The sequence below is a fragment of the Homo sapiens genome, chromosome X, assembly GCF_000001405.40.
Source record: "Homo sapiens chromosome X, GRCh38.p14 Primary Assembly".
In the NCBI taxonomy this organism is placed as follows: Eukaryota; Metazoa; Chordata; class Mammalia; order Primates; family Hominidae; genus Homo; species Homo sapiens.
In genome coordinates, this window is record NC_000023.11 from 108,592,256 (window position 1) to 108,605,127 (window position 12,872).

The 12,872-nt window shown below is 37.1% G+C and overlaps 1 protein-coding gene across 9 annotated transcripts in view, besides 1 other annotated feature; it reads left to right on the forward strand.

The window, feature by feature from the left end:
• Positions 1 to 12,872, forward strand: part of COL4A5 (collagen type IV alpha 5 chain) — a 257,708-nt gene that overhangs the window by 152,418 nt on the left and 92,418 nt on the right. For all 9 annotated transcript variants that reach the window (XM_047441810.1, NM_033380.3, NM_000495.5 and 6 more), the window contains 7 exons: positions 3,254 to 3,346; positions 4,743 to 4,813; positions 5,122 to 5,313; positions 6,447 to 6,615; positions 9,138 to 9,230; positions 9,630 to 9,734; positions 10,709 to 10,806. In XM_047441810.1, the coding sequence (XP_047297766.1) occupies positions 3,254 to 3,346; positions 4,743 to 4,813; positions 5,122 to 5,313; positions 6,447 to 6,615; positions 9,138 to 9,230; positions 9,630 to 9,734; positions 10,709 to 10,806 (821 nt within the window). The remainder of the gene's footprint in view (positions 1 to 3,253; positions 3,347 to 4,742; positions 4,814 to 5,121; positions 5,314 to 6,446; positions 6,616 to 9,137; positions 9,231 to 9,629; positions 9,735 to 10,708; positions 10,807 to 12,872) is intronic.
• Positions 8,125 to 9,055: an enhancer, noted in NCBI's record as "H3K27ac hESC enhancer chrX:107843610-107844540 (GRCh37/hg19 assembly coordinates)". NCBI's record gives its function as "activates a minimal SCP1, AML or CMV promoter by ChIP-STARR-seq in primed H9 embryonic stem cells {active_cell/tissue: H9 hESC(primed)}" and the evidence as "EXISTENCE:reporter gene assay evidence [ECO:0000049][PMID:30033119]".

Consider the following 12,872-nt stretch of genomic DNA (forward strand, 5'->3'; position numbering starts at 1 on the left):
TGCTCCTATCTAAAGCCAGTTCTTCTATTTATACAATAGATTCCATTTCCTCTTATTTCCCCAAGGATTTTTTTTCCAGCAATTTTTGCCTCTCCGACATCACCAATTTTTCCCTCTCTATTCAGTCATTCCAAGGAGCATACAAATATGCTTTTTTCACCTATCTAAAAAAATGTAATCCTACATTCCCTGCCAGCTGTTTCTCTATTTTTCTATTCTCATTTGCAACAAAACTTCCTAAGAATTTTCTCCTCATTACCTCTAGATACTCTCCTCTTGTTTTCTCTTAAACATACTCCAATCAAGATTTCATCCCCTCTTCCCCCAACTCCCCACTGCCTACCACTCCACAAATGCTGGTCAGTCACCAGCAGTCTATATCCTACTAATCCAAATGTCAGGTCTGTCCTTTTTTTGCTTGCTTTTTGCCTTCTTTAAACATTTGCATCCCTTAGCTTTCAGTACATTTCCTGTTTTTTTTTTTTCATTCCTCTGTGGTGTACATATATGTGTGTGTGTGTGTGTATGTGTATCCATGTAATTACCATCTAAACCAAAATATAGAACATTTTCAGGACCCTGGAAGACTCTTGTGCTCCCTACTCAGTATCCCCCAAAGGTAATCACTATTTTATCCTCTGGCATATATTAATTTGCCTAATCTTGAACTTTGTGTACATGGAATTATACTGTATGAGCTCTTTTGTGCCTGGTTTCTTTAGCTAAATATATGTGAGATATATCTATGTTCTTGTTTGTTGCAGTATTTTTCCACCATTCTTTGTTTTCCACTGCACATTACCTCAATATTCTAATGTTGATGGACATTTGGTCTGGAGCTATTGTGAATAAAGCTGTCATAAATATTCTTGTACGTGTATTTTTTTTGTAGGACATAAACACTAATTTTTATTGGGGATATATCTGGAAATTGAATTGCTGGGTTATAGGTTAGGTGTAGGTTTTGTTTCATAGATATTACCAAACCATGTTCCAAAGTGATTTTCATTTGCGTTTGCCTAATGACTTGATTATGAACTATTTCCTTACAGTTTTTATATTCTCTTTTGTAAAGTGCCTGTCTTTATCTTTAATTTGATTATTGGATATATGTATTAAAACTATCTTCTGTTTTGTTAACTTTTGTTTAACAAAAGTTGCTAATTAAATGAAATCAAATTAATTAATTTCCTATTTTATCGTTAGTACTTTTTATGCACTGTTTTAGAAATCTTTACTTATCTCAGAGGCCTGATGATATTCCTCTGTGTTTTCTTCTAGACACTTTATTGTTTTACCTTTCACGTTTTGATCTTTCTTCAATTAATTTTTGTGTATAGTTTGGAGTAGGGATCAAAGTTCATTTTTCCCATATGGATGTCCAGTTGACTCAGTACTATAGAACAAAAGATCATCAATTACCCCAATGAATTGCATTAGCACTTTTTGTAGATCACATGACCATATGTGTGTAGGTCTGTTTCTGACTGCTCTATTCTGTTCTGTTGTTTCATTAGTCTCTCTTTGCACCAATACGATACTATCTTAATTACTGTGGCTTTATTGTAAGTGTTGGATATTCTAGGTTCTTTGCATTATTTTGTGTGCATCTTAGAATTATCTATCCAACTTTTAAGTTTAAAATGCTCCAAGGTTGAGTCCTTGTTCTTCTTTTCTATATAAACTCATTTATTCAGTCTTGTGACTGTTAATACCACCTAATTGCCCATGACTTCCAAATTTATGCCTCCTATCCAGATATAACTCTTTTCCTCTAGATTTGTGTATCCATTTGCCTAGTCAACATTTTGAACTTGACATCCTGATCAAATTGAAGTCTTGATTTCTGCCACCTCCTCCCCATAGTTGCTGCACTCACATCTTCAGCTTCTTACTTAAAAAGCAGGCCACTTTAGCCTTCTAGTTGCTCATGCTGAAAACCTTGGAGTCATCCTTGATTCCCCTCTTCTTTTGTATTTCATATATGATCCATGAGAACATCTCATTGGCTCTACTTTCAGATATGTCTATAATCTAACCGGTTCTGATCATTTTCATTGCAGTCACTTTGAAATGAGCTACCACCATCTCTCTCCTAGATCATTGCAACAGTAGCCACTTAAGTGGTTACCCTGTTTCCATCATTGCCTTTAGAGGCTATTAACATAGCAGCTAGAGTCATCCCTTAAAAACTTAAGTTATAACATGTTGCTTTTCTTTTTAAAATTTTCTACTAGATTCTCATTTCACTCACAGTAAAAACCACAGCCTTTATATTTCTTATATGCCTATATGCCATTCGTTATAAACTGTCAACTTTCTGACCTTGTTCCCCTCCCTCATTCTGCTCTAGCAATCTGGTCTGCTTGCTGTTCCTTGTATATACCAAACATGGCTATTCTTTCTGCTTGGGATGTTCTACACTCTTATGCACATGTCATGTCCTTTAAGTTTTATCATATAACAACTTCTCAATCAAGTCTATCCTGACTACCCTATTTAAAATTGCAACCCCCCACCCTTCCCTGGCATACTCAATACCACTTATGTAGTTCTATTTTTTCCTATAAAAATAATATATTTTAAAGCATATTAAATATTTAATGTATATTTAATTTTTTTAGACAGGGTCTTGCTCTGTTGCCCAATCTGGAGTGCAGTGGTGCAATCACAGCTCACTGCAGCCTCAATCTCCTAAGGCTCAAGCAATCCTCCCACTTTAGCCTCCTGGGTAGCTGGCAAGTACAGGCATGCACCACCATGCCTGGCTAATGTTTTTATTTTTTCTGTAGAGATGGGGTTTCGCCATGTTGGCCAGGCTGGTCTTGAACTCCTCATCTCAAGCTATCTGCCTGCCTCGGGCTCCCAAAGTGCTGGGATTACAGGCATGAGCTACTGCAGTCTGCCTATACTTAATATTCTATTAAAATATTTCATATATACATTTTGATAATTCATTTCCTTTATTGATTATTATCCCTTTCCCCTGGTAGAGTGTGAGGCATGTAGACATGAATTTTTATCCATGACTTTTCTTTTGCTCACCAATGTAACACAAGCATCTGGAACAGTTCTTGGCACACAGTAAGCACTCAGTAATTTATTTGTCATAAATTGATTCAGGATATAGGCTTCTCCAATCACACCATTAAGTGGAAATGCTGTCCCTTAGTGCTAACATTTTTAGAACCTATCTATAGAAGGTATATGTACCCCTTTCAGTAAAATTTGTTTGTTATTATGATTTCACTAGGTGACAAAGGTGACACTTGCTTCAACTGCATTGGAACTGGTATTTCAGGGCCTCCAGGTCAACCTGGTTTGCCAGGTCTCCCAGGTCCTCCAGGTAAATTATGCCTCAGGGTAACCTTCTAAATATTTTTTGGCTAGATTTTGTTGAGCTTATACTTTTAGAATGTTACCAGTTTCTCATTTTATAACTAGTCACTCATATCTATAAAGAATTAAGTATGAAATGCCTCCATTTGTTATCAAATTAATTATGCTCTTGTTTCTAATACCTGAAGCTACCAATATATTCTATTAAAGCATTTTGACAATATAATTTCAGGAAATATATCTTCCCCATTTTCCATATGGAGAAGAAAATCACTTATACAGAGTCAGACTTCTTTCTTCCAGAATACTGGGAGAAAAGTTCATAATGCCTAGCCCCTGAGTGTAGTTTCCAGTGGCAGAGATTCCAGTCACTGGGGATGTATCACATGTTGTTGTTCAGGAATAGGGGTTCTATTGGAGTTTGGCAATCAACTGCCAGTATTCCTCTCTCTCTATATATAACACATCTATCCCCCTTTCCAGTCAAAACTATATGTGATATCTGTCAGACCCTCAACTGTTTCATTTAACTGCCCCTTAGGTATCCCAGTATTCTCTTGAAATTACACTTTATGTTTGAGTCAGGGCTGAGAATAGACACCAGATCTCTTACCTTTCTGTCTAGTGAGTCTACTAAGGACACCAATTCATTTGGAGGTTGGGAATACTTTCAACAAATCTTGTAGACATTATTGGACATTAATAATCTAGCCTTGTACCTCTAGTCTCATGGTTCTCAAACTTGAGAGTGCATCACCTGGAGGGCTTATTGAAGCCCAGAATGCTGAGCCTCACTCTCAAAGTTTCTGATTCAGTAGACCTGGATGAAGGCTCAAGAATTAGCATTTCTAATTAGTAGCCAGGTGGTGATGATGCCACTCATCCAGGGATCCATTTGGAGAACCACTGCTTTAGTAATGTTTCCTCTAGTCTTTGGGCTGCAAATGTTTCTCATAAACCAAATTTCAGGGAATGACAAACCAAAGAAAGGACTGGTAAGGATCTAGGAAAACTGCATAAGTCAGAACAAAGATATTCAAACCTTTTCATTATCTTTTTTCTCCCTTTGGCAATGGGAACATCATAGGAACCCAGGAAACGTTGTGCATAGTATTTGGCAGTTGCAAGGTCTGAGAAAGTCTGCTTTGGAGTTGAAAGTTTCTTAGGATACAATATTGTATGTAACATGAAATGTTAAATTTATTTTTTAAAAAGGATGATTACCTCATTTTGTGAACATAAAAGGAAAATACAAATGTGACTTAAATGGGATTGAATGGGGTTCTTATTTTAAAAACTTGACTTTCTGACTTGATGATTTCTGTATGAGCTTTGTCAGGAGTTCAAGCTCAAAGCTTACGTTATTGTGTGTGTGTGTGTTTGTTTGTGTGTGTGTGTGTTAGGATCTCTTGGTTTCCCTGGACAGAAAGGGGAAAAAGGACAAGCTGGTGCAACTGGTCCCAAAGGATTACCAGTAAGTTTTGAGTATATTATAAAACAAAAAGAAGTAGAAGGAAGGCATTTTACACATTGATTTTCAATTATTCATATATATACACACATATACAATTTAATTTTTCCATTAAGTTGTACTTTGTTTGATTCCTTGACTCTTCCTGACTCACATGCCTCACTTGATTCAGCCCTTTGTACATTAAATGTTATTGGATGGGTTGAAGGGGTAAACTGGAGAGAAGAAAATGTTAGAAAAAAAGAAACTGATTTTCTTTTTCTCTTTCTTCTTTTTCCACTCTTTTTTCTTTTTTTCCTTACTCATTTCAGGGCATTCCAGGAGCTCCAGGTGCTCCAGGCTTTCCTGGATCTAAAGGTGAACCTGGTGATATCCTCACTTTTCCAGGAATGAAGGGTGACAAAGGAGAGTTGGGTTCCCCTGGAGCTCCAGGGCTTCCTGGTTTACCTGGCACTCCTGGACAGGATGGATTGCCAGGGCTTCCTGGCCCGAAAGGAGAGCCTGTGAGTTGGTTTGATATTTTTGGTTTTGTGATGTTAAATTTTCACTTAGAAATGTTTTCTAAGTTAATTCAAAGGATGGGACTGATGCTGAGATAAACACCCAATCAATGCTTAAAACAATGTGACCATACAGTAATGGCACATTGTTACTGACTACGTAGGGTTTCTGCACTACTCTTTTCTTTCACTTGTTTTGTAAACTTATTTTTCTTAACCCATTAATATTGAATACTATTTTCTATGAATAGGTGGGCAGGAGGTTAAGATGTTTATGAGACAGTATAAGGTTCCCCATCTCTTAACCCCCACATATCTTTCCTTGGGTTTACTTAAACCTCATGACTGGGCATGGTGGCTCACACCTGTAATCCCAGCACTTTGCGAGGCTGAGGTGGGCGGATCACCTGAGGTCAGGAGTTCGAGACCAGCCTGGCCAACATGGTGAAACCCTGTCTCTACTAAAAACACAAAAATTAGCCGGGCATGGTGGTGGGCGCCTGTAATCCCAGCTACTCGGGAGGCTGAGGCAGGAGAATCACTTGAACCCGGGAGGCGGAGGTTGCAGTGAGCCGAGATTGCACCACTGCACTCCACCCTGGGCAACAAGAGCAAAACTCCATCACAATAAATTAAATAAATAAATAAATAAATAAACCTCATAACCAGCAGTTTAACTTGTTTCTATATATATAGTAAGCTTAGAGAATAGTACAAGTAGATAGCCATGTTCAATGTGCCACAGAACTGAAAGATTTAACATAAATGAACAATCTTATTTTGTACATAACACACAGCCCAGGATATTTAGGTAGGAAGTGATATTTTATAATGTTATCTAGACTATAACCTTTCTGACTTACACTAAAATGTAAGCTGCATAAAGTCAGAGATTTTTGTGTATTTTTGTTTTCTGTTGTATCACCAGCACTTGACACATAGTAGGAGCCCAAAAATATTTGTTGGAGGAATGAGTAAGTGGAATGATCACACATACCATCTCATAATACCACTCACTTATATAGCTTTTAAGAAGAACTATTTATGGCTATATCCTTTCCCCAGTTGTATTCAGTACCAACCTACAGATAGTTGTTGTATCTATATGTTTCTGTATTAAACTTTTCCCTTTTTAGGGTGGAATTACTTTTAAGGGTGAAAGAGGTCCCCCTGGGAACCCAGGTTTACCAGGCCTCCCAGGGAATATAGGGCCTATGGGTCCCCCTGGTTTCGGCCCTCCAGGCCCAGTAGGTGAAAAAGGCATACAAGGTGTGGCAGGAAATCCAGGCCAGCCAGGAATACCAGGTAAGTTTACTGTGTTTTGTTTTAAACTTGGTGCTTAAAAACAGAAATTTATTATGTTTTGGCTACTCATGGCTTCCTTTCCCGAGAGGTGTGTTTCCCTGGCCGTTTATATTTGAACTCTTCAGAGCATCTTAGCAAGGGATCACAATGGTTTTTATAAGGGGGTTTCTTTTTAAATCTTTTCTAACTGTTTCATTGTTACTGTTAATTTTGCTCTTTTTAAGTACATGATACATAATGCAAAGTTTAATAAATAGTTATAACAGAAGCACACAGGTAGCTACCACACACATCAAAAAATAGAATGTTACCAGCATCCTAGAAACCCCTAACCTTTTCTCCCTGTCATTTCCTAATCACAATCCCCTTCCTCCTGTCTGCTGTCTTGACTTTTACATAGTTTTCTTCCATTACCCCTCTGTTTTATGACCTCTGTATGCATTTTTAAACAGAGTATTTTAATTTTGTTTCTTTTTGAACTTCATGTTAAAGGAATCATAGGGTAAGTGTTTTTTATATTAACTTTTCGTGTGGCTATAGTGTATTCATTTTTATTGCTATATAGTATTTCATTGTATGTATGTTTATGTGTGTGTGTGTGTGTGTGTTACAGTTGATTGATCCATTCTATGGTTAATGGTTAATTGGGTTATTTACAGTTCAGGTCTATTATGAATAATGCTTCTGTTTACAGTCATATAGATAGATAGCTAGGTAGATAGATAGATCCCTATATCTCCTTGTGTTCATGTGCTCACACTTCTCTAGGGCAAGAGTTGGCACACTACAGAACTACAGTCCATGGACCACATCCAGCCTACCACCTGTTATAAATAAAAGTTTTATGTGAACACTTCCACAACCATTCACTTTTGTCTGTGGTTGTTTTTGCACTACAACTGAAGAGTTGAGTAGTTGCTACAGAGACTGGATGGTCCACAAAGCCTAAAGTATTTACTCTGGTCCTTTACACAAAAGGCTTACCAATACCTGGGCTAGGGTATGTATTTAAGATTAGCATTTTCAAAGCATAGGATAAGTGCATCTTCCACTTGACTGGATAATTACAAACTCTATCCAGACCAATTGTACCAATTTTTACTACCACAAGCAGTGTTGAATATTTTATGTTGATTTACATCCTTGGAAACAATTTGTATTGTCGGACTTTTACACTTTTGCCAATCTGTTGAGTGTGATATTTTGCATTTCTCTGATTAAAGTTTAGCACCTTTTCATGTGTTTATTGGTCATTTGAATTTGCTTTTGTGAAATGCCTAATCAAGTACTTTGACCAATTTTATATTGGATTATTTCTTTTTTTATTGATTTAGAGGAGTTCTTTATATATTCTGTGCATTAGTTCTTAGTTACCTATGTATTTTGCGAAAAGAAATCTTTACCTACTGTGGCTTGCCATTTTTACTCTTTGTTTGGTGTCTTCAATGAGCAGAAAACAACTTTCACATCATCAAAATTATCAATCTTTTCTCTCATGGTTAGTGCTTTTTGTGTCATGTTTAGGAAATCTTTTTTTTCTTGAGCCAATTTCAAGTTCATGTTTCCATTAATAAGAAGTAGATATACTTGAACTTTGCACATGTAAAACCTAAATGTACCTATTAGCCAAAAAAATATTTTCCTTGTTTACTACAGTTTGATTTTTAATGCTCTTTTGGCCTACATTTTAAAAATACTTATATAGGTAACACCCTGTTTTAGGGGTTTCCAGAGAAACAGAACCAATAAAAAGGATGGACAGATGGGTAGATTAGATAGATAGATAGATAGATAGATAGATAGATAGATAGATAGATAGATGAGAGGTGATTTATTATGGGAATTGACTTACATGATTATGGAGGCTGAGAAATCCCACAGTAGGCCACCTGTAAGTTGAAGAACTAGGGAAGCCAGTAGCTTGGCTCAGTCCTAGTCTGAATGCCTGAGAACCTGAGTGGCTGCTTAGTACAAGTCCCAGAGTCTGAAAGCCAGAGAACCTGGAGTTGTGATGTCCAAGGGTAGGAGAGGATGGGTGTACCAGTTTCAAAAGAGAGAGAGCAGAGAATTCACCTTTTTTTCTGCCTTTTTGTTGTATCCGGTCCCTCAGCTGATTGGATGGTACCCACACACATTGGGTGAGGGTGGATCATCCTTATTCGTTTCACTGATTCAAATGTCAGTTTCTTTCGGAAACAGCCTCACAGACATATCTAGAAATAATGCTTTACCAGCGATCTCAGTATCTCTTAATCTAGTCATGTTGAAACCTAAAATTAACCATTATACATCTTGAATCATGGAAGTCCTTAAGGCTGTCATATCCTTTTTCTTTTTGAAATTCTATCCTTCTGTTTTATATATTTCTTGAATATATAGTGGAAGATTGTTTTTCTTGTGAATTTTTGTTAGTTTACATTTTCAAAAGATTGCTGATAATTTTCTTTTTTGTTTTTAATTAAAAAGAGACCTTTAGTTGAGTAAATACTTCTCATTTACCATTGATTTACTCTTGCTTTCAGGTCCTAAAGGGGATCCAGGTCAGACTATAACCCAGCCGGGGAAGCCTGGCTTGCCTGGTAACCCAGGCAGAGATGGTGATGTAGGTCTTCCAGGTATGTGAGGAATTTATTTCAAAGTAACTTCAACACCGATGGCTTTTTTTTTTTTTTTTTTGACAGAGTTTCGCTCTGTCACCCATGCTGGAGTACAGTGGCGTGATGTTGGCTTGCTGCAGCAACCTCCTACTTCTGGGTTCAAGCAGTTCTCCCTGCCTCAGCCTCCCAAGTAGCTGGGATTACAGGCGCCCACCACCACGCCCAGTTAATTTTTGTATTTTTAGTAGAGACGGAGTTTCTCCACGTTGGCCAGGCTGGTCTCGAACTCCTGACCTCAGGTGACCCATTGCCTCAGCCTCCCAAAGTGCTGGGATTACAAGAGTGAGCCACTGCACCTGGCCCTGATGGCTTCTTTCTTTGAACGTTTTCCTTTCAATAACTGCTGTTTCTCCATAGGTGACCCTGGACTTCCAGGGCAACCAGGCTTGCCAGGGATACCTGGTAGCAAAGGAGAACCAGGTATCCCTGGAATTGGGCTTCCTGGACCACCTGGTCCCAAAGGTATGTTGGAATGGGTAGCAGGCAGAGTAGGTTAGAAGTTTAGCATGATGTTATTCTCTCATAAAATTCATTCAACAAATAAAATATATTAATTGCACCTTTTTTCTCTGTGCTATAAAGAATGTAAATAAAAAATCACAGTGTATTTTCACTGTAAGTTCATTATCTTTATCTAAAACAGTCCAGACAAGAAAATATCTACATTTTAGATATGCAAAAGTGATATATAAGCTTAAAAATCACAGGAATTATTGTGTTTTGTGTTCACCATAGTATTTTCAGGGTTTAGAACAGTTCCTAACACATAGTGTGCACTTGATGTTTATTGAGTTAAAGGATTTTTTAAACAGAAAACAGACTTATTGCAGATGTGTAGCCAAGTAATGTTTTATGCTAAATAATATTTTCTTGATTTATTGAAATTTTTAGGGCTTATGCTTCAGTTCTGCTTTATTCCTCACAGAATTTATTCTCACAAATGGCAAGAGCACACAGTGGTCTGAGGACAGTTCTTAAATATATCTTTACTCATTTATACAAAATGCTTTCAAAAGTATCAGGTTTGATTTTATGTGTGTATGTATCTATAATATCTGCAGTTATTTTTAGATCATTTCCAAAATTATATGGTAGGCCCTTTGTCATACTACATCCAGATATAAGCAGAAGAAAAGTTCTTGGGCATTTTTGTGTGGGATTCATTCCTTACAATTTAGTTCTATCTTATTATATAATAGCCCTCATTTTCTTCAGAAAAGCATATGTTCCACATACATTAGCTCTATGTGAAAATAAAAGGAATGTAAGATGATTGAGAGGATTGTAAGGCTTAATCCTAAGTAGTAGAATGTCATTGTGCTTTTGACATCTTACTGTTGTCACTAAGCATGAGTAGAATGTGGGTTTGGGAATTTGAATATCTTTCTTAAAGTGCCTTTCCTTTGGTGGTTAAAAAATGACTTATCATTTTACAGGCTTTCCTGGAATTCCAGGACCTCCAGGAGCACCTGGGACACCTGGAAGAATTGGTCTAGAAGGCCCTCCTGGGCCACCCGGCTTTCCAGGACCAAAGGTCTGGGACATTTTTCTTTATTCCTTCTCATTTTCTTATCTTTCCCACCTTCCTTATTTCTAGCTCTCTATTTTGACTCAGATATCATCCCAAGCCCCAAGTCTTTACTATAAATATACAGATAACTTATTATATTTCCATTAAAAAAATATTTAACCCCAAATCATCTTTAATAGTCCAAGGTCACATTTGGAGCAAAAAAAAAAAAAAAAAAAACCTAATTTCTGTACCTACTTTTGAATGCCCAGTTCTTTGATTAGAGAATACAGGCATACCTTGGAGATATTGCAGGTTTAGTTCCAGACCACCACAATAAAGTGAATATCAAAATAAAGTGAATCACACAACTTTTTTTGTTTCCCACTACATATAAAGGTTATGTTTACACTATACTGTAGTCTTTAAAGTGTGCGATAGCATTAGGTCTAAAAAAAACCATATGCATACCTTAATTAAAAATACTTTATTGCTAAAAAATTTTAGCAATCATCTAAGCTTGCAGCAAGTTATAATCTTTATGCTGGGGGAGGGTTTTGACTCAATATTGATGGCTGCCCACTGATCAGGGTGATGGTTGCTGAAGGTTGGGTGGCTGTGGCCATTTTTTTAAATAAGACAACAATGAAGTTTGCCACATCAATTGACTCTTCCTTTCAGAAAAGATTTCTCTGCAGCATGTGGTGCTGTTTGATGGTATTTTACCCACAGTAGAACCTCTTTCAAAATTGGAGTGAGTCTTCTCAGACCCTGCTGCTGCTTTATCAACTAAGTTTATATAATATTCTAAGTCCTTTAGTGTCATTTCAACACTGTTCCCAGCATCTTCACCAGGGTAGATTCCATCTCTAGAAATCACTTTTGCTCATAAGAAGCAACTGCTCATCTGTTCTACTTTTATTATAAGATTGCAGCAATTCATTCACATCTTCATTCTCTACTTATAATTGTTGTTCTCTTGCTACTTCCACCATATTTGCAGTTACTTACTCCATTGAAGTCTTGAAACCCTCAAAGTCATCTGTGAGAGTTAGAATTAACTTCTTCCAAACTCCTGTTAATATTGATGTTTTGACCTCTTCTAATGAATCCTGAATTTTCTTCATGACATCTAGAATGAAACCCTTTTCAGAAGGTTTCCAATTTGTTTTGCCAGATCCATAAGAAGAATCACTATTTATGACAGCTATACATTACACAATGTGTTTCTTAAATAATAAGACTTGAAAATTAAAAGCACTCTTTGATCCATGGGCTGCAGAATGGGTATTGTGTTAGCAGCCATGAAAAGAACATTCATCTCTTTGTACATCACCATCAGAGCTCTTGGGTGACTAGGTGCATTGTAAATGAGCAGTAAAATTTTGAAAGGAATCTTTTCTTCTGAGGAGTAGGTCTCAACAGTGGGCTTAAAATAGCCAGTACACTATGCTTTAAATACATCTGCTGTCATCCAGGCTTTATTGTTCCACTTATAGAGCACAGGCAGAGTAGATATACCATAATTCGTAAGGCCCTAGAATTTTTAGAATGGTACATAAGCATTGGTTTCAACTTAAAGTCAGCAGCTGCATTAGTCCCTAAAAATAGAGTCAGCCTGCCTTTTGAAGCTTTGAAACCAGTAATTTACTTATCTTCTCTAGCTATGAAAGTCCTATGAGCATTTTATTCCAATAGAAGGCTGTTTCATCAACATGGAAAATCTGTTGTTTAGTGTAGTCACTTTCATCAATGATCTTAGCTAGAACTTGCTGCAGCTTCTATATCAAAACTTGCTGCTTCACCTTGCACTTTTATGATGTGGAGACAGCTTCTTCCCTTAAACCTCACGAACCAGCTTCTGCTAGCTTCCAACTTTTCTTCTGCAGCTTCTTCACCTCTCAGTCTTCAGATAATTGAAGTTAGGGCCTTGCTCTGGATTAGGTTTTTGCTTAAGGGAATGTTATGGCTGGTTTGATCTTCTGTCCAGATCACTCAAACTTTCTCCATATCAGCAATAGGGCTGTTTTACTTTCTTCTCATTCGTGTGTTCACTGGAGTAGCACTTTTAATTTCCTTAAATAACTTTT